The sequence below is a fragment of the Homo sapiens genome, chromosome 7 (genome assembly GCF_000001405.40).
Source record: "Homo sapiens chromosome 7, GRCh38.p14 Primary Assembly".
In the NCBI taxonomy this organism is placed as follows: domain Eukaryota; kingdom Metazoa; phylum Chordata; class Mammalia; order Primates; family Hominidae; genus Homo; species Homo sapiens.
The window spans coordinates 4,185,656-4,204,422 of NC_000007.14; the positions used below are offsets into that span (position 1 = coordinate 4,185,656).

General features: G+C 50.0%; 1 protein-coding gene across 6 annotated transcripts in view, besides 6 other annotated features; it reads left to right on the plus strand.

Moving 5' to 3' along the window:
* Positions 1-18,767, plus strand: part of SDK1 (sidekick cell adhesion molecule 1) — a 967,749-nt gene that overhangs the window by 884,404 nt on the left and 64,578 nt on the right. The window lies entirely within an intron of this gene.
* Positions 956-1,701: an enhancer, noted in NCBI's record as "H3K4me1 hESC enhancer chr7:4226243-4226988 (GRCh37/hg19 assembly coordinates)". NCBI's record gives its function as "activates a minimal SCP1, AML or CMV promoter by ChIP-STARR-seq in naive H9 embryonic stem cells {active_cell/tissue: H9 hESC(naive)}" and the evidence as "EXISTENCE:reporter gene assay evidence [ECO:0000049][PMID:30033119]".
* Positions 4,383-5,263: an enhancer, noted in NCBI's record as "H3K4me1 hESC enhancer chr7:4229670-4230550 (GRCh37/hg19 assembly coordinates)". NCBI's record gives its function as "activates a minimal SCP1, AML or CMV promoter by ChIP-STARR-seq in naive H9 embryonic stem cells {active_cell/tissue: H9 hESC(naive)}" and the evidence as "EXISTENCE:reporter gene assay evidence [ECO:0000049][PMID:30033119]".
* Positions 9,512-10,131: an enhancer, noted in NCBI's record as "H3K4me1 hESC enhancer chr7:4234799-4235418 (GRCh37/hg19 assembly coordinates)". NCBI's record gives its function as "activates a minimal SCP1, AML or CMV promoter by ChIP-STARR-seq in naive H9 embryonic stem cells {active_cell/tissue: H9 hESC(naive)}" and the evidence as "EXISTENCE:reporter gene assay evidence [ECO:0000049][PMID:30033119]".
* Positions 12,614-13,113: an enhancer, noted in NCBI's record as "H3K4me1 hESC enhancer chr7:4237901-4238400 (GRCh37/hg19 assembly coordinates)". NCBI's record gives its function as "activates a minimal SCP1, AML or CMV promoter by ChIP-STARR-seq in naive H9 embryonic stem cells {active_cell/tissue: H9 hESC(naive)}" and the evidence as "EXISTENCE:reporter gene assay evidence [ECO:0000049][PMID:30033119]".
* Positions 16,719-17,235: an enhancer, noted in NCBI's record as "H3K4me1 hESC enhancer chr7:4242006-4242522 (GRCh37/hg19 assembly coordinates)". NCBI's record gives its function as "activates a minimal SCP1, AML or CMV promoter by ChIP-STARR-seq in naive H9 embryonic stem cells {active_cell/tissue: H9 hESC(naive)}" and the evidence as "EXISTENCE:reporter gene assay evidence [ECO:0000049][PMID:30033119]".
* Positions 17,236-17,752: an enhancer, noted in NCBI's record as "H3K27ac-H3K4me1 hESC enhancer chr7:4242523-4243039 (GRCh37/hg19 assembly coordinates)". NCBI's record gives its function as "activates a minimal SCP1, AML or CMV promoter by ChIP-STARR-seq in naive H9 embryonic stem cells {active_cell/tissue: H9 hESC(naive)}" and the evidence as "EXISTENCE:reporter gene assay evidence [ECO:0000049][PMID:30033119]".

Genomic DNA, 18,767 nt, shown 5'->3' on the forward strand with positions numbered 1-18,767 from the left:
CTCTGCTCCAGAACATGCCACGTACACAGCTCTTTGCATATCCACCTGAGGACAGGTCTTTTTCTCTCTGAGTTCCATGAGGGCAGGGACCCCTCTTATCCCCAGAACGTTAGCATAAGGCCAGAACATAGAAAACATTCTGAAGATGTTAGAGGAAGGGTGGGAGGGAGAGAAACACATTTAGACAGGAAGGAAGGAAAGAAGGGAGGGAGGGAGGGAGGAGGGGAGGGGAGGGGAGTAACAAACATAGCCCAGGCCACCGGCCCAGAAGCACAAGTGACTGAGTGACCCCTGAGCTCTAAGGGGGGATGGAGCGGCTCCAGGGCCCAGGGAGCTCAGGGAGGGCCTAAAGCAAGGCTTCCTGTCCAGAGGTGCCCGGCCCAGCTCTCCTGTTTGCTCTGCAACTACTGTCCTTTCCCAGGAGCTCTAAAACAGTTAAAGCTTTAAAACAAAACGAAACAAAATAGCAAAGCTGGCCTCACACACCAAACAAAGCTTGTGGTTTTCTGTTCATTTATGAATCCACGCTGACCGAAAACTGATTCAGCCCCAGATGTGTCGTGGGGACACTAGGGGCAGTCAAGTTCTACCCACTTTGCCCTGGGGGTCCTGGCACAGACAAGCATGGCCGCCAGCCCAGCTCCCAGGAACTGCAAGAGCAGGACCTCCTCTCCTGGAGCAGGGCCCTCCGACACCCACCCCGGCTGCTGGGACCCCTCGTGCACCTTTGTTATCCCCAGGGTCGCTCTTTAGCCAGAGTTAGTGGCAGCTGCCCCAGGACAGAGCCTCCAAATAAAAAGAGGTGCTGTGTCCCCACATAGGCCGCCTCCTTGGAGCCTGTGGCCTCGTGGTTCCCTCGACCCTTAGCTCGTCCCCGGAGCCGGCTCGCCTTCCCCACCTGCTGAGCCCTGCCACTGATGGTTTAGGTCACTCGGCGGTCCTGGGGGCTTCTGGGGCCTACAGCTGGGAAGCTGGGTTGGGGTGAATCAGGAGGAAGGGCTGCCGTCAATGAGTAGAGCCCCCCGCTGCTCCAGCTTCCTAGGGAGAGACCAGAAGCCCCCAGCCCACCTCACTAAGCCCTCAAATGCTGTGAGCATGCCTGCTGTCTGTCCAGTGAGTCTAGGAGGTGCCTTGGAATCTCCTGGGCCCGTATAGACAGTGCGGGTACAGGCATGGCCCTTCTTTGGGGAGGAAGGCGCCCCTCCTAGCCTCCTCCTCCACGGGCCTTCTCCAGTTCTTGCCCTGTGCTTTGGGGTCTAGTAGTGGCCAGACCTGGGATTGCCACCCCTGGCATCTGTAGCCTCCTTCTGGGGGCTGCAAGTAGTAGGGGCTCCAGCATGTCTACCTAGGAGGGGCTCAAGAGCCACACTGTGGTTCGGAGTGGGGCTTGGGACCCATCTTGACTGTGTTTGCAGTGTGGGTTGTGTGCATGTTGGGTGTGTTATGTCTGTGTGAGGGACTGTGAGAGAGGACAGGTGGGCTTGCTGCTACATGAGGCACGGGGGCCAAGTCCAGGGATGAGGCAGGGGGCACCTGAGGGAGTGGGGAGGGCTGGGTCCCATGTGGGGGTAAACCTCCATAGTTAACCCACGGCATTATTACCATTATTTTCCATCATCCAATACATTTGCACAAGACTATGGGTCCAGCACCTTGCTATTAGAAATGAAGCTACTCTGAACACTGTTACAAATCTTTTCCAACGTCTCCAATGCCTGCCTTGGGATAAAACGCTAGAAGCAGAACTTCTGGTCCAATGACATGAACATTTTTCACCTTTGAAATACTTCAGCTAATTGACACCCTGCAGCGGTGACCAGATACAGGGCTCAGGTTGCATTCCTCTTTCCTCCTGCTTTTAAATCTTTCCTAGTTTATTAGGCAAGAAGGTATCTCATTATTATTTTCCTAGATGGGCTTTTAAATGACTGGTCTGTGATTAAATGCCTGCAGAGCTCATGGCTATTTTTTGCATGGGGGTCTGTTACAAGGTAAACTGAGACACAAAATGTTAGAAGAGTTTATTCGAGCAGACAGCAATTCATGAATCAGGCAGCACCAGTCCAAAGGTGGTTTGGGGTTCTGGGAAGGGAACACAAGGGGAACGTTTTTATGGTGTGAATGTGGGAGCTGGACAAAGAAAATACTTGATAAGAGTATGTTGTTGCCTTCTTCAGTCTCAACTGTTAGAAAATTCCTAGTTGTATTGGTTTTCATGCTGCTGATAAAGACATAGCCAAGACTGGGTAATTTATAAAGAAAAAGAGGTTGAACGGACTCCCAGTTCCACGTGGCTGGGGAAGGTGAAAGGCACGTCTTAAATGGTGGCAGGCAAGAGAGAATGAGAGCCAACCCCTTATAAAATCATCAGCTCTTGTGAGACGTATTCACTACCATGAGAACAGCATGGGGAAAACCACTCCCATGATTCAATTCTCTCTCGCTGGGCCTCTTCCGCAACATGTGAGAATTATGGGAGCTACAATTCAAGGTGAGATTTGGGTGGGGGCACAGCCCAACCATATCACTAGCTGTATATCTGCCTTTAGTTGCATATCTGTCCTCAAGCTAGTTGCTACAGCCAACGTCCTGAGGTGCCCTCAGTAAGTTGTTGGCGGCTTCTGATTGGTTGGGCTTAAGTTTTATTTTTCTTTAATATGGGCATTTACAAGAAATAGCCCAGGTTAAGTTTTGTTTAGGTTTGCAGAACCAGCAAGGTCAAGGTTGTCTCCACGGCTTAATGGGCTTTGCTCAGGGGATTCTCAAGCCTGGTCTCCATTTTATTTTAATGGGTCTTAGTGTTTTGTGTTGATTTCTTAGAGCTTCTTATATATTAGGGATATCATGTTTGATCATGTCTATGGCAAATACTTTGTCTTTAATTTTATTGTGTTTAAGTGGTTGTGTGCTCAAACCTCCATATCTGAGGCATCTCTCCTTCCCATTTTGAGACCAAGTAAATATTCACCCAGATATTTTTTCATAATTTTCATGGTTTTATGTTTTCCATTAAACTCTTTCATCAAAAAAAAAAAGAAAGAAAGAAAAAAAAAACTCTTTCATCCTCCTGGAATTAATTCTGGAGCCTGGCATGAAGTGAGCTTCTAAATGGATCATTTGTTTCCAGAGAAGTTTTTTCCCCCGAAACCATCTATTGATTTTTAATTGCTTTGTGGTGCGTCTTAATCATGGTTTAAATTCTTACACACAGTCAAGTCTGTCTGAAGACATTCCTTCGTTCCACAGACATCTTTACTGTTGCCCTAGTACTTCTAAAGCTTTCATTTACATCAGTTTGTTACACATTTTTTTCATGTTTAGGAGGGCTTGTCTTATTCCTCTTTGTTTTCTAAAATTTCTCAGCCATTCTATGAATTTTACAATCATTTTGGCAAGTTCTTAAAAAAAAGCAAATGCTCCTGGGATTTTGATGGAAACGTATTAAATAGTAAAGGGATTTGGAAATCCTCGCCGTCTTCCTCCTTTTCGTCTATTCATGCTTGCTCCCGGGAGCTGGCTGTCCCTCTGGCACGGTGCTGCTGGGCTGGCAGCGCTCCTGGTGCAGGTCCTGCTGTTGCTTGTCAAGTCATTCCTGGCAGTTTTATTGCGGCGGTTGCTGTGAGCCTGGGTATTGTAATGGCTCGTCCCTGCTCTGCCCACCGCCAATCGCAGCTCAAGGCTGAGGCTCACATGGTTACTCAGGCATGTTAAATATTAGTCCAGCAAAAAGAGCAACATAGGTTTTCCCCAAAAAGCGAGCCAGGACTTGCCTTTTTTCCACACCCAATGGGGAGTGGCTGCCCAGCTCAGATGAGAGCCGAGTGTCCAGCACTGTGGCCTTTAGCCCCGCAACTTTCACCAAAAACAGAAGACAGACAGATACCCATGCTCAGCATTTAAAATCACTCGGCCGGCCAGGCATGGTGGCTCATGCCTGTAATCCTAGCACTTTGAGAGGCCAAGGCGGGTGGATTACTTGAGGTCAGGAGTTCGAAACCAGCCTGGTGAAACCCCATCTCTACTAAAAATACAAAAATTAGCTGGATATCGCTTGAACCCAGGAAGCAGAGGTTGTAGTGAGCCGAGATTGTGCCACTGCACTGCAGCCATGGCAATTGAGTGAGACTCCGTCTCAAAAAATAAATAAAATAAAATCAGTTGGTGGCTTTAGGTGGTGTTTGGTTGTTCCTGGTGTACATGTGGCTGTGGAAGACAGAAAAGTGTCTTGAAAATATCTGTTTGCTGTTTTTAAGAATGAAAAAATTGTCGTACAATATGGGTCCCACCTTTCTTCTAAGTGCTCCAAGTTTTTAATTACAGTTGGTTGGAATGAGAGAAAAAAAAAAGCACAGCTTCTAGCTGTTTCAGCTCCCGCTAGTGACAAATAAAGCCAGTCCTAGTGCCTATTAAGTGAAATTAAAAGGCTTCAGTGACGCCAGTTTGAAAACATGTGTTTGTAGGGAAGAGTGAATGGCACCTGTTTACAGGGTAATTAACGTCGCAACCCCGACTCCACAGGCTGCACTGTCTCATCATCGACGTTCCCAGGGCTCCCTGGGTAATTATTAACATATCACGCGATAATGACATTGTGCAAACCACAGGCCGCCCCTGTCATTTCTGCGGCCACAGTCTCTCCAACTGATGCCGGTGGGCTGTGCTGCGTACAGGGCTGTCTACACGGTCCTGGATGATGGATAAACATCTGCCGAAAGCCTACTGTGCTGGTCACAGATGGTCACCATCCCCTGGGTGGGAACCGTTGCTCCGTTTCACAGATGAGAGTGATGAGTCAGCTTTATCCGGAGTCCGCAGGGGGCTCCCCGGGCGCTATCCCACCCTCTGGGCTCCAGCTCGTGTTGTTTCAGACGTTCCCTTCAGGCACAAATGCACTAAGAAGCCCTCGCCAAGGAGTGCAGAGTGGAGAGACTGTGGGATGCAGGTGCCTCCGCCGTGGGGGATTCTCCAATGCGCTGCACCCGGCCCACAGCAGGCTGTGCACAGGCACTGCTGACTGACTGGGAGCTTGGCCCACCCCTTCCCCATGCCAGGGAGTATTTCAGAATTCACGGCTTCCTTCAGGCTCTCTGCAGCATACGCTATCCCGGGACAGCCTCTTGCCAAAGGGCGGGTGATAGGAGCAGCTTCTCAGAGAGCTCCCAGGATGGAGCTGTGGTGCCCCTAGGCAGACACAGCCCCCGAGGGAGGATGGGCTTGACACCAGCCTCATCAATGCTGGGCCGGAGGGTGGAGGGCGGGGAGGCTCCTTGCCCACAGGTGCGAGCCTAGCCAGGCTTCTCTGGGCGGGGGCTCTCAGGGAAGCCTCTGGGGCCTGTGTCCACCCATCCTCTACACTTCTGCTGGGGTGACCCTTGTGAAATGCAAATCCCATCCCCTCACTTTCTGTTTCCACCCTTCAGGGGATCCCTGTTATGTATGCGGGAAAAATCAAGCTCACTCCTGAGACTGGCCCCAGGGACTCTGAGGTCCTGCCAGGCCAACCCCGCGGCGGTCACAGTGGGTGTCCTCATGGCCCCCAGGCCCTCCCCCGCCGCAGTCACGGTGGGTGTCCTCCTGGCCCCCAGGCCCTCCCCCGCCGCGGTCACATGGGTGTCCTCCTGGCCCCCAGGCCAGGGTTCCCTTTCGTGCTCAGGCTTCACACGCACAGCCCGGCAGATGCCCAGGAGACCTTGGTGGCGGGCTGGTAGTATTACTCATCTGACGTCCATCACTGTAGACAAAGGTTGTGGAGCATCGCGCGGTGCCCGCTGCTGCATTTGGAAAGGCTCCCTCACCTCTCACCATCCTGAGTTTCACTCCTTAGCCAGCTTCTCTGGGATCCCTCCAGGTCGCCACGCTGGCAGCCAGTGGAGGCCTTTCTTCAGCACCCACTTGCTCAGCAACTTGCTGGCACCGAAGGGAGCGAGAGAGCCCTGAGGTACGGGCCTGCCCTTCAGCTGCTCCCCCGAAGCGTGAGCCAGCCCTTCAGCTGCTCCGCCAGGGAGAGGGAGGATCACCGGCCTGGGCCTTTGCGACCTTCTCTGGGGTTGAGTCTGCAAGGGTTAGGGTCTCCTGTGAGTGGCAGAGCTCAGGGTGGACAGGGGGCTGCAGGTGGGCTCTGCACCATAGGAGAAGCTGGGCTATCCCCACAGAGGAGGGAAGCGCCATCTCCACAGGTGTGGCCGGGCAGACCACCCCTCCCAGGGCCGCGCGTCACGCACAAAAGTGGGGTTCACATCCAACCCACTGTTGAGAGTGCACCAGAACAGCAGATTTGAAAGGGCTTTGACGGCAGTTTCCGACCCCACCCCCAGGCCTCTCTCAAACCCTCGCCCTGCTCCTCCTCTCCAGCCACACTCTCTTCCGAGAGAACTCTTCCCCTCTTTGCCTGTTTCTCTGTTGTTTAACTTCTAGATAGGGAAATCTCAAGCATACACAGAAGGAGACAGACAAGTGCAGGCGCATCACACTCCTCACAGTTGGCCTTAGTGTGCTTCGTAGATACTGTGTCAGTTACAGATGGAAGGTTTGGGGCAGCCCTGCTGTCAGTGCCATTTTCCCAACAGCACGTGCTCACTTTGCGTCTCTGTGACAGCATCTTTTTTGCAGCAGATTTTTTGTTTGTTTCTTTGTTTATTGAGACGGAGTCTCACTCTGTCGCCCAGGCTGGATAGCAGTGGCACTATCTTGGCTCACTGCAAGCTCCGCCTCCCGGGTTCACACCATTCTCCTGCCTCAGCCTCCCAAGTAGCTGGGACTACAGGTGCCCGCCACCACGCCCAGCTAATTCCTTGTATTTTTAGTAGAGACAGGGTTTCACTGTGTTAGCCAGGATGGTCTCGATCTCCTGAACTCGTGATCCACCCGCCTCGGCCTCCTGAAGTGCTGGGATTACAGGTGTGAGCCACCGTGCCCAGCCAGTAAAGTATATTCTAATTGAAGTATGTTCCGTGTTTTTTCAGAGAATGCTTTGCACATTGAACAGATTATGGTATCGTAGAAGCATAGCTTTTATATGCACTGGGAAGTCAAAACATGTACGTGACTCCCTTTTTCAATGATCTGGAACCAAACCCACAATATCTCCAAGACCCGCCCGTGTCGAGAACACTCCTGCACTCGCCACCAGCTCAACCACAAGGCAGCACGGCCAGTCTGGCTTCATCCAAACATCCACCTCCTCCCCTCCCGTGTGATCCTCAAGCAGCTCTCAGACATCATATATAGAGGTTTACAACATCATATCATTTTATTCACAAATACTTTTACCATATATCCCTATAATAACTCTTTAACATATGTATTAGGATTCTCTAGAGGGACAGAACCAATAGGCTATATATAAATATATAATATATAAAAATATATAATATAGATTATATAAGATACAAAAATATATAATATATATTATAATATATAATATATAAAATACAAATGTATATATAATATAAATATATTAAAATATATATAATATATAAATATATTAATATATTTATATAATATATATTAAAATATTTATATATTGTATAAATATATTAATATATTTATATATTAATATATATATTGTATATTAATTGTATAAATATACAATATATTGTAATTAATTGTATTAATTACATATAAAATACATATAAAATTACATATAAAAATATTAATATATTTATACAATATATAAATATATTAATTTATATAATATATTTATATATATTAAAATATTTATATATATATATATATATATATATAAAGGGGAGTTTATTAAATATTAAGTTACATGAGCACAAGGACCAACAATAGGCTGGGATATTGCCACTACTGGGGATGAGGAAGCTGTTCCTTCTGGCAAAAAAGGTTCATTAGAGTTTACAAGCTCAGTGTCCCCAGCTTCATCAAGGTCCTCCCACACATCCCCATTCCAAGTTGCAGAGTCCCATTCTTTTTCGGTCCATGCCCTCACTTTAATAGTAGACACCTGGCAAGGCTGTGCATGCACCTTAACTTGCAGGTCAGCCACTCACATGGTAAGAGCTTGTGTCTGTTTTTCCACAATTTCAGCTCTTCCTCTACAGGAGTGAAGACTCTCACTCAAGGCAATCTTAGCAGACTTGAGACTCAGTATCTGCTTCTGAAGCTGGGAGACAGAATCCCTGAGTTCATCATTTTCTTTCATCACTTTGTGCATTGAACTTAGGAGCAACCAACCAGCTTCATTATGTTTCTTGGTTCTCCACACATGGTCAGAGGTATTATGTATAGAGTCCCTAAACTCCTTGCCTCTCACGAGCGGTGAATCAGGAGCGTCAAATGCATTTATTTTGCATAACTCTCTAAACAATTCACGCCAAGGACTATCAGCATTCTCCATACTACTAGAAGTAGAGTCCTTAGCATTTTTGGATCTAATCATATTAAGCAGCCAACTCCGGAAACCGCAAAACCAACAGAAGAACTCCATCCTGAATATTCTGTCTCTCTAGAACCACTCCTGGTACCAAAATCTGTATTAGTCAGGGTTCCCTAGAGGGACAGAACTAATAGGAGAGAGAGCGAGAGAGATATATATATGTATACACGTATGTGTATACATGTATAGATATATGTATGCACGTATGTGTATACATGTATAGATATATGTATGCACGTATGTGTATACATGTATACATATATGTATGCACGTATGTGTATACATGTATAGATATATGTATGCACGTATGTGTATACATGTATGTGTATACATGTATACATATATGTATGCACATATGTGTATACATGTATACGTATATACATATATGTATACATGTATATATGTGTGTGTGTATATATATACTCCCATATATATGGGAGTTTATTAAGTATTAACTTACAGGATCATAAGGTCCCACAATAGGCTATCTGCAAGCTCGAGGAGCAAGCAAGGAGATCCAGTCCGAGCCTCAAAACTGAACAACTTGGAGTCTGATATTCAAAGGCAGGAAGCTTCCAGTATGGGAGAAGGATGTAGGCTGGGAGGCTAGGCCAGTCTCACTCATTTCACGTTTTTTCTGCCTGCTTTATATTAAGTGGCAGCTGATGAGATGGTGCACACCACATTAAGGGTGGGTCTGCTTTTCCCAGCCCACTGAGTCAAATGTTAATCTCTTTTGGCAACACCCTCACAGACACGCCCAGGATTAATACTTTGAATCCTTCAATCCAATCAAGTTGACACTCAGTATTAACCATCACAATGTATAACTACAAAGTCATTCTTACACCTAAGAAAATTATAATAATTGCTTAGTGTAATCGGTTAGCTAGTCAGCATTTGAATTCCCCTGGAATTTTCTGCTCTGACAGCCCACAGTTCTATCCTTCTAGACTTGTCAGCCCTAACCCATGCCACTGAAACCATGATGCAAATCAATGAGCTGCTTTAGAAAAAAAAATTTGTATTTTTAATTGACATATAATAATCGTATACATTTATGGAGCACAAAGTAATGTTTACCATGTGGAATGATTAAATCAGGCTAATTAGCATCTGCATCACATCACATTCTATCATATTTTTGTGGTGAAAACATTTAAAACCTACTCTTCTAGCAACTCTGAAATGGTGCACCGTGATTTCTTATAGTCACGCGATGCGCTGCTTGTTGCAGAGTCCAGTGGGTGCTCGCGTCCCCGGTCTTGCCCTGGCCTTTGATTTGAGGCCGACTCCTTGCCTGGTTTCCAGAACACTCTGCCCTGGCTGCTGCAGCTCCGCTTCTCTCTGGGGTTTCTTGGGGCTCAGCTTTTCCCCGTCCCTCCCCCACGTCACTCTCCATCCTCAGCTGCCTCTGGAGCCACAGCTCCCAAATGAGTCCCCTCCCGCCTGGGAGTCTCTTGGGGAACCCAGGCCTGCAATTCCCACTGTCTGCCTGGCATCTCTGCCGGGCGCACCCACAAGTTCCTTGACCCAACTTGTCCAAAATTGAGTTTCTGTGTAGTAGCCAAGAGCAAGCACTTAGAAGCCAGAATGCCCAGGTCTGGCTCCTGGCTCTGTCCCCATAACCCTGGGTAAATTACTCCACCTCCCTGGGGCTCAATCTCCTTGCCTGCAGGGCTGCAGAGAGGACCAGATCCGCAGAGGGCCCTGGAAGCAGTGCCGCAGGAGCTCTGCCTGGGGATGAAGCCGTCGCTGCTCCTCCCCAGCCTCTCGGCAGCAGCAGCCACGGTGGCAACAAGCCTGCTAACATGTGCCCTTGGGAGGGTGCCTCCACCCACCCCAAAATCCATGACAGAAACCCCAGCCTCAGCCCAAGTCTCTCCACCACACCCACGCATTACATATTGTCAGAGGCTGCTTTTGCCCTAGGAAAGCAGAGTTGAATAGTTACAGTGAAGCCCTTCAGTCCCTCAAAGCTTACCACCCTTCATGTCTGGACTTTTACTGGAAGTATCGTTATGTCCAAGCCTAGAGAAGCAGCGTGGACCTTAGAGCAAGGCAGATTCAGGTTTGAATCTAGCTCATTATGGGGGATGTGACTTAACCCCTCAAGGCCTCGGCTTGCTTGGTCCCCTGGTCACTGCAACTGGTGGATTCCAGGCCCTTGCCAACAGGTCCGCCTCTGTCACTCTTCTTCCTGTTGCAGCCCCGCCCTCGCTCAGACCACCCTCTGCAGCCTGTGACCTTGCAGGAGCTCCTCCGGGCTGGGTCCCCACACCCTGTGCACTCCCTAGCTACAGCCAAAGCCATCTCTCTCATGTACAGCTTTGACTGTCTCACTCTCTGCTTTCAAACCTTCCCAGAGAAACCTCTGATCTCTAAAGCCATTCAGTCCCCTGGACGTGCGGTGCCGTCTCTCCCGGGCCTTTGAACACACAGCCTCTTCCACCTCAGCTGCTGGCCCCTCCCTGCCCCTTGCTCTCCACGCCGTAACTCTCCTCTCCACTGTTCAAGTCTCTGCCTGGATGCACCTGGCCAGGGGAGCCCTCCTAGGCCCAGGCACTGCCCGGGGAGCCCTGCTGCTCACCCCCACAGTGCTCTGGGCTCATTCCCAGCACAGAGCCCACCCTGAGGGCTGGAATTGCCTGCTGACCTGCCCGTGGCCTGCTCTAGACCATGCACCACGTGAGGACAAGTGGCTGATGCCATCCCAGGCACACAGATCCTACCTCATGAGCCAGTGCTTCTCACGGTACCTAGTGGAGAAGCATTCGGAGAGGATTTATCTGATGGATGTTGACTCTTGGCTAACAAGGGCTGCCTCTCTCCATCCCCTGACTTTTTAGGACAAGACCAGAGATGCTAAGGCCATAGCTAGGAAAGTCAGGCCCTGGAATGAGACCGTCTAGGCTTGAACTCCAGCCTTGCTTCCTGTTGGAGCATGCTATTTAACTTTTCATCTTATTAAACAGAAATAATGGGAGTGGCCTCCAACGATCTGCTGTGCAATCCACACGGGCAAACATGAAACCTCCTCTCCCACCTGGGGTTAGAGCAGCGAGGAGACCCAGGCTGGCCAGGACAGAGACTGGTGGTACTTTGCCCTTGTTAAGAGTTCTTGGGGCCAGGCATGGTGGCTCATGCCTGCCATCCCAGCACTTTGGGAGGCCGAGGTGGGAGGATTGCTTGGGCTCAGGATTTGAGACCAGCCTGAGCAATGTAGCAAGACCTCATCTCTGAAAAAAAAAAGAAAAAGAAAAGAAAGAAAGAAAGAAACAATTAGATGGGTATAGTGATGTATGCCTTTAGTTCCAGCTACTTGGGAGGCTGAGGTGGGAGGATCGCTTGAGCCCAGAAGGTTGAGGCTGCAGTGAGCTGTGATGGTGCCACTGCACTCCAGTCTGGGAAACAGAGCAAGACCCCATCTCAGAAAAAAAAAGTTATTTGAAAACATTCTTCCACAAGGAGAAAAAGAATGGATGCTTCGCGGTCAAGGCCTAATAGCCAGCCGGGCTGGGCTCGTGTGAGGCTGTAAAACCCCATCCGCAGCTTCTGTGATGGTGTACAGGGGAGCGGAATGCCTGGTGCTGGCGTCAGGCTCACTGTCCTGCAGCTCTTTGCTGGCCTGGCCTGTTCTCCACCCTCGTTTGCTCCTGGGTCTTGTAAACAGTGTTCCTTTGACCTTCCCCTCGAGGACCAGAGATCACTTGCTGTCTGGCGCAGGCGCTCCTGACCTTCAGATGTGGGAGGACTGTAAGAATCTCAGGGAGACCCCCACCCACTGCTTGCGGTGGTCTCCTTTGTCATAGACGACAGATGCTTGCCACACGCAAGCAGAGGCAGGGCTTAAAGGTTACTCTCATTTCTCAGGTGAGAAAAAGCAAAGTGCAGATGGTTTCGGAGGGTCCTCCAGGAATGCTCAGCTCATCCGTGGGACCAGGACGCACAGGCCTGCCCACTGCATCTAAGGCAGCGAGGCCCTGTGGAATCAAATCAGCACTGAGACAGAGGGCTGCAGGACGTGGTCACTGAGGGCGTGAAGCCAGCCTGTGCCCTCCTGGCCTCACTTGCCCCGTAGGGCCTCTCATGTCACGTCACCTGCCTCTGTGGAAATGTCCTGTAGCTCCTGTTTCCTGCAGGGTGTCACAGAAGCGCCACCTTCTGCTAGCGGCCCAAACCCATCACACACCCCCCTCATTTGCCCCTCACAGAGTGGTCAGAACCTACTGCCAGTTCCCACTGCACCCCTGACAGCTGTAGGGTTAAAGGATGGGGACAAAGTCACAAGGGTGTTGGCTGGGACACCTGGGCCAGGTGCCTTGAATTCTGCCCCAGGGCTCTTTGCACTTGACGCACCAGCTCCCAGTCAAGGCCTCTGCTCTCATTGCAGCCCTCCTGCACTTCCTTCCTCTGCCTCGGAGCAGGATCTGCAAACAGCTCAGCGGCCAAGCCTAGCCCATTACCTGTTCTTGTAAATAAAGTTTTATTGGAACACCGCCACACCCGTGCATGTTGTTGGAGGCTGCTTTTGCCATAGAAGGTGGAGTTGAATAGTTGCAACAAAGCCCTTACATCCCTCAAAGCTTAACATCCTTACTATCTGGGCCTTTACCTAAAGTTGTGCGACTCCCACCTTAGAGAAGCAGCTTGGACCTTAGGGTTAGGCAGATCCAAGTTCATATCGAGCTCATTCTGAGGCCTCTGACTTAACCCCTCGAAGCCTCAGCTTTCTTTTTCTTTCTTTTTTCTTTGCTTTTTTTTTTTTTTCCTTTGAGACAGAGTCTTGCTTTGTCGCCCAGGCTGGAGTGCAGTGGCGTGATCTCGGCTCACTGCAACCTCCGCCTCCCTGGTTCCTGCCATTCTCCTGCCTCAGCCTCCAGAGTAGCTGAAATTACAGGCACGCACCACCACGCCTGGCTAATTTTTGTGTTTTTAGTAGAGACGGGGGTTTCACCATGTTGGCCAGGCTTGTCTTGACCTCCTGACTTCAGGTGATCCACCCTCCTCGGCCTCCCAAAGTGCTGGGATTACAGGTGTGAGCCAGCGTACCCGGCCTCAGTTTTCTAAAAGGAGAATACAGTCTTTCTCCAACAGGTTGAATTTTGTGTGTACAAACTGCATATAATGCAGTTAATGAGTTAGGGGCTGTGGATTGCACCATGGAGGAACACCACCGCTTGTGATGCTGTCATGATCTGTGAGGACCCGGATCTTCCTGTGATGGGGACTCACTGTACGGGCCAGGAAGCACACACAGTCCGCAAGCCGCAGAGCCGGTTGGCTCAAGCGTCTTTTAACTTTGTTTATCATAACAGTGGGTGATGATGGCTATTGAGCTGATAAGAAGGTGGAAGCACTATTTCCTGATGATGGGAAGCAAAGATCATTACTGGACGAAATCAAACGCCAGAATTGTCTAGCAGTATTGAAGTTTCAGAGCTAACCTTTAAAATGGAAATATCTGTAGGACAAATATGTTTGTTATCGTGAGTCTGAAGCTCTCTGGCCTCATCCTCCTTTTCCTATGGAAACAACTGCTTTTAAAACAGTCTTTAAAGCTACTCGGTTTGTTAGAATTGCAGCTGCCATGTCACAGCAGAGCAGACTAAGGCCATCCCCTGGGGCTATGGAAGGAGAGTGTCCCCTGTCCCAGCTGCCACACCTGTGCTGCTCTCAGCCCCTCACCTGGAGTGCTCTGCCTTTCTCTCCACACATCCCTGTGCTCAGTCAGAACTTAGAGCACACAGCAACTCCTCCTCTTCTGTGTTCTTGAGGCACCTGTACTCAGCGAACCACTCAAATTAACCCATGCACAGTTCTAGAATTCTGTCATCCTCACTGACACACCTGCCAATAAAAACCCCATCTCTACTAAAAATACAAAAATTAGCCGGGTGTGGTGGCGGGCACCTGTAATCCCAGCTACTCAGGAGGCTGAGGCAGGAGAATAGCTTGAACCCAGGAGGCAGAGGTTGCAGTGAGCCGAGACTGTGCCATTGCACTTCAGCCTCTGTGACAGAGTGATACTCCATCCCCCCACCCCACAAAAAAAGGCCAGGAGCATCTCTTAGATTTCCTCTGCGTACCTGTAGTGCCCCACCCAGAGCCAGGTCTGGGTGTGTGTAAAGACATGTGGACCCTGACAATGGATTATCACCTGTACACCCACACCATGAAATCCAACATTCATGGCAAGGGCTGCACCAAACTCCAGGCGGTCTTGGAGACTTCAAAATGTGCAGAGGCTTGGCTGAGGCCGGCACCTTCCTAGAGGAGCTGGAGCTACAGCTGGGATGTATCAGTCAGCTGTTACCACATAGCAAATGATCCCAGTATAGCAACCTAAAACAACACACATCTCCTACCTTGGTTTCTGTGGGCCAGAAATCTGGGAATAACTTAGGTAGGTCCTCTGCCTCAGGGTCTCTGGGACAGTGTCAACCAGGCCTGTGGTCTTCTCTGAAAGTTCGACCGGGGAAGGATGCATTTCCAAGCTCACCCATGCAGTTGCTAGTGGGATTCCATTGTTCGTGGACTTTTGGACTTGAGTTCCTTGCCATGAAGGGCCTCTCCATGGGGCCTCTCACAACATGGCAGCTGGCTTCCTTAGCATGGGCTGGCCAGACCACAAGAGCAGGTGAGCAGGAGAGATGGCACAGGCTCTTGTTGCTGAGTCACAGCAGTGCCACATTCTAGTCCTTAGAAGCAAGCCATGTATTCAGCCCACATTCAAGGGAAGGAGATTCTCAGGGCATAAGTAACAGGAAGTGGATCTGCAAACAGCTCAGGGGCCAAATCCAGCCCATTACCTGTTCTTGTAAATAAAGTTTTATTGGAACATTGCCATGCCCATGCATTACAGATTGTTGGAGGCTGCTTTTACCATAGGAAGGCAGAGTTGAGTAGTTACAATAAAGTCCTTACGTCCCTCAGCTCATGTAGGGACCTGAAGCTCCTGGTGGGCAGGGCAGATGGCACTCAGACATCTGGGGTGCACTGGGCACCATGTCCTTTGTTCCTAGGGCTATGCACTTGCCCAGACACGGGGCTCTGCATTTCCTGGGTTGCTTGCTCAGGCTCTGCTGCTGGCTTTCTTGCACTTCTGCCTTGAGTCATTGCTGTCTATCTCCAACTCTCACTTGTCCCCACCTGAGTAGAAGCAGGGTGATCCCTTTAAACCTCCTGATTCATTGAGAAGGCCTCCCGAGCTGCAGAGTCACCCAGAATGGAGCCTGTCTCCAGGTCCCCCTGCTCAGGGGAGCAGATTGCGAGCAAGATTTGCCAAGAAGGTAAATGAGATCAGAGAATTCTATTTCCCATAGTTCCTTAGGAAATCAGAAAGAGAATCTCACCAGTTTGCTTTGATGTCATTAAAGCAAACTGAGGAATATACAATTTTTAAAAAATCATATAAAGAAAATTATTTCATTATATTAAAACATTAACATTGATTCTCAAATTATCCATTAAAACCTTGCTTTACCCAAACAGTCAGTCAATGGGCTACAGAAACTGAAAGTAGAAATCTGGCATGGTCTATCCTGGTCCAGTACTGCTCTAGCCACAGCAGATGCCTGGCATGGCACAGGGAGGCTCCGGTGACAGGAGGCGCCTGGCGTGGCACAGCGTGGCTCTAGTGACAGCAGACACCCAGCATGGCACAGGGTGGCTTTGGCAACAACAGATGACTGGCATGGCACAGGGTGGCTTTGGCAACAACAGATTACTGGCATGGCACAGGGAGGCTTTGGCAACAGCAGACACCCAGCATGGCATGGGGTGGCTTTGGCAACAGCTGACGCCTAGCATGGCACAGGGTGGTTCTGGCAAGAGTGGACACCTGGCACGGCACAGAGTGGCTCTAGCAGTAGGATGACCACCTGTCTGGTGTGAACCTAACATGCACCCCGTGTTCCCACCCTTCTACTCTTTCTCCTTCCATCTCTATAGTCAGCAGTGCCCTTGCTCCCTGGCCCACTGTCACGTCTCAAATCTTCCCTGTTATTTAAGGACCAGCCAGATGTTCTACTTTCCAGGAAACATCCACATCCCTAGCTGGACATGCTCTCTGGGCCCCGACCCTGTCCCCACACTCCGCCTGGCACCGTGATTATTGTGATGCGTGTCTCTCTCTGATGAAACTTGTCTTTCACATCTGGTGTCCACCTGTCCCTCAGCCCAAGGCCTAGACCCTGGTTAATATTCAGGAGGATTTTGGCAGCGTTAGGCTGGGATAACAAACAACCTCCAAGGGCTGGTCCCACCAGTAGTGCTGGTCCCTCCCGCTGCCGCCCTCCGAGTGCCAGCATCTTCTCTTCTGCTACCTGCCATTTTCATCCCAAGACTCTGGTTGGGGGAGCAGCCCCCGTGTGACTGGCCAGCCTCAGGGCTGCTAGAAGAGAAGGTTCCAGGCCATGTGACTCTCCAGAAAGTGAGTTGTTTGGTCACGTGGGGCCAGAGGGGAAAATGTGCAGTCCTCCCTCAGTTGGAGCGACCGCCAGTCACAGGGCCATGTCGCTGTCCCCAGATCAAATGGATGACCTTCCGCCTGGCGGACGGTGAATGTTTTGAATGAGTGGGCGGAGGCTGAATGAATGAGCATCATTCTCCCTGCAGAGTTAATTCCTACAGCTCTGAAACTTTTCCCTCACTCTCTGAAGCCTCCACTCCTCCACCAAATGCCACGTAGAACCGTTTTGTTTTGTTTTTTTCTCCTGAGATTTGAGTCACACCGGTGCCTGTCCAGCTGCCTCAACTTGCAGCAGAGGTTCCTAAACCCTGAGGTGAGGGGGCTGCAGCCCAGGCCTGCCATGCAGGGCTCAGGTTCACCTTGGGTCTGGTGGGACATGGAGTTAGAACCATGAGCTGCTGGTGCTCTCCACCCACCAGCAAATTAAGACTAAGTCAGGGCAGCCACTGTGTCCCAGCGGCTGCTTTTGATCCAGCTGAAGCTCGCTGGCCACTTAGGGACGGCGAGCACAGGGAGGTTGGGCGAGGCGACAGAATGCCGTCCTTGCTGCCGTTTGGGGCTTGGCTGCAGCCTCCAGCCCACCCCTTCCCGCAGAGGCAGGAGGCCACGCCATAACCCGGCTCAGGCCCCAGCGCCCAGCCACGCAAGGCCATCCAAGCAACCAGCCAGAATTCCAGAACATTTCAGAAATGTCAGGAATTCCACGATGGCTGTCAGGTGAGGGTCCCTCCAGAAGTCCTGAAAGCTTGTCTCTCATTGCCTCAGCAAGATCCCTCTCCCAGGCCGCAGAGGCCCCCTGGCGAGGGTACAGGACCCATCACACCAAGGACCTGAGTCACTCAGCTCTGCGATGGCATCGTAGCCTTAGCGTGAGACCCCAGAGAAAACCCCAGCTTTGCACCTTTCCCTTTAAATGCCAGTTGCAGGCAATCTCCCTAGCAGCAGACGCCAGCAATTGCCGGTCTAAAATGCTTTTTAAAAATAATTTCATGTATTTTTTTTTTAAAAAAAAAAAGCTTCCAAGCTGGTATGTATGTCATCCTTACACCGCAAATGCTAAGGTGGGAAAACAAAAAACGAACGACAATCAGATGCTCCGTGTCTCCCAAACTGCACACGCTTTACGGAGAAGGAGAGTTGCACCGGGGCTTGTCAATGGCAGAGCCTTCCTGAAAGTCAGGTTCTCCTGTCAGGGTGGAGACCCAGCGGCTTTCAGGAGCAAAAAAGAAGTCTCCAAACCGACACGCTTTGCTCAGCGTTGACATATATTTCTCTCTTCCCTGCTGGTGTCAACAAAAAATGCTTTGTTGCCTGCAGTAATTTTACGGTCCAGAAGTGCCTTGCTGTAGCATTGCTGGTAGGCACGGCAGTGCGGCTCAGCTGCCTGAGACAGGGTCATGGGCCTTTGCCCAGCTCGTCTCCACCCCAGAGAAAGGGGCATGCGGGCCCCTAATTTATGGGGGTTCACCTGGCGCTCACAGACCCACCAGTTCCTACAGGCGGATATCCAAGTCCAGAGCTGTCGTGGGCGCGCTGAGTTGGGCCATCTTTGGAAAGAAACCCTGGGGCTGTCGCGGGGGGAGGGCGATGTCTCACCGACTACCAGGGTAATGGCCGCGCTCAATTTTGCCTTTCACATTTTAATTGTACAACAGTAATTTTGCAATGGAGTTGCCGATGGCAAACATGCAAAAGACATTAACTTTATTTATGTTTTGGATTATTAATGTGGCTGTTAAAATTCCTCCAGTTAGTTTTGATTGAATTGTTTTTTTGTGTGATTCTGCTGTTTAATGGGGCGGTAAATAAGAATTTCTGATAATGAGGCTGAGCATCTGTCACAACAACCTGGTGTGGGCTATTAACATTTCCATTAACGGCAGGGTGGGCAGT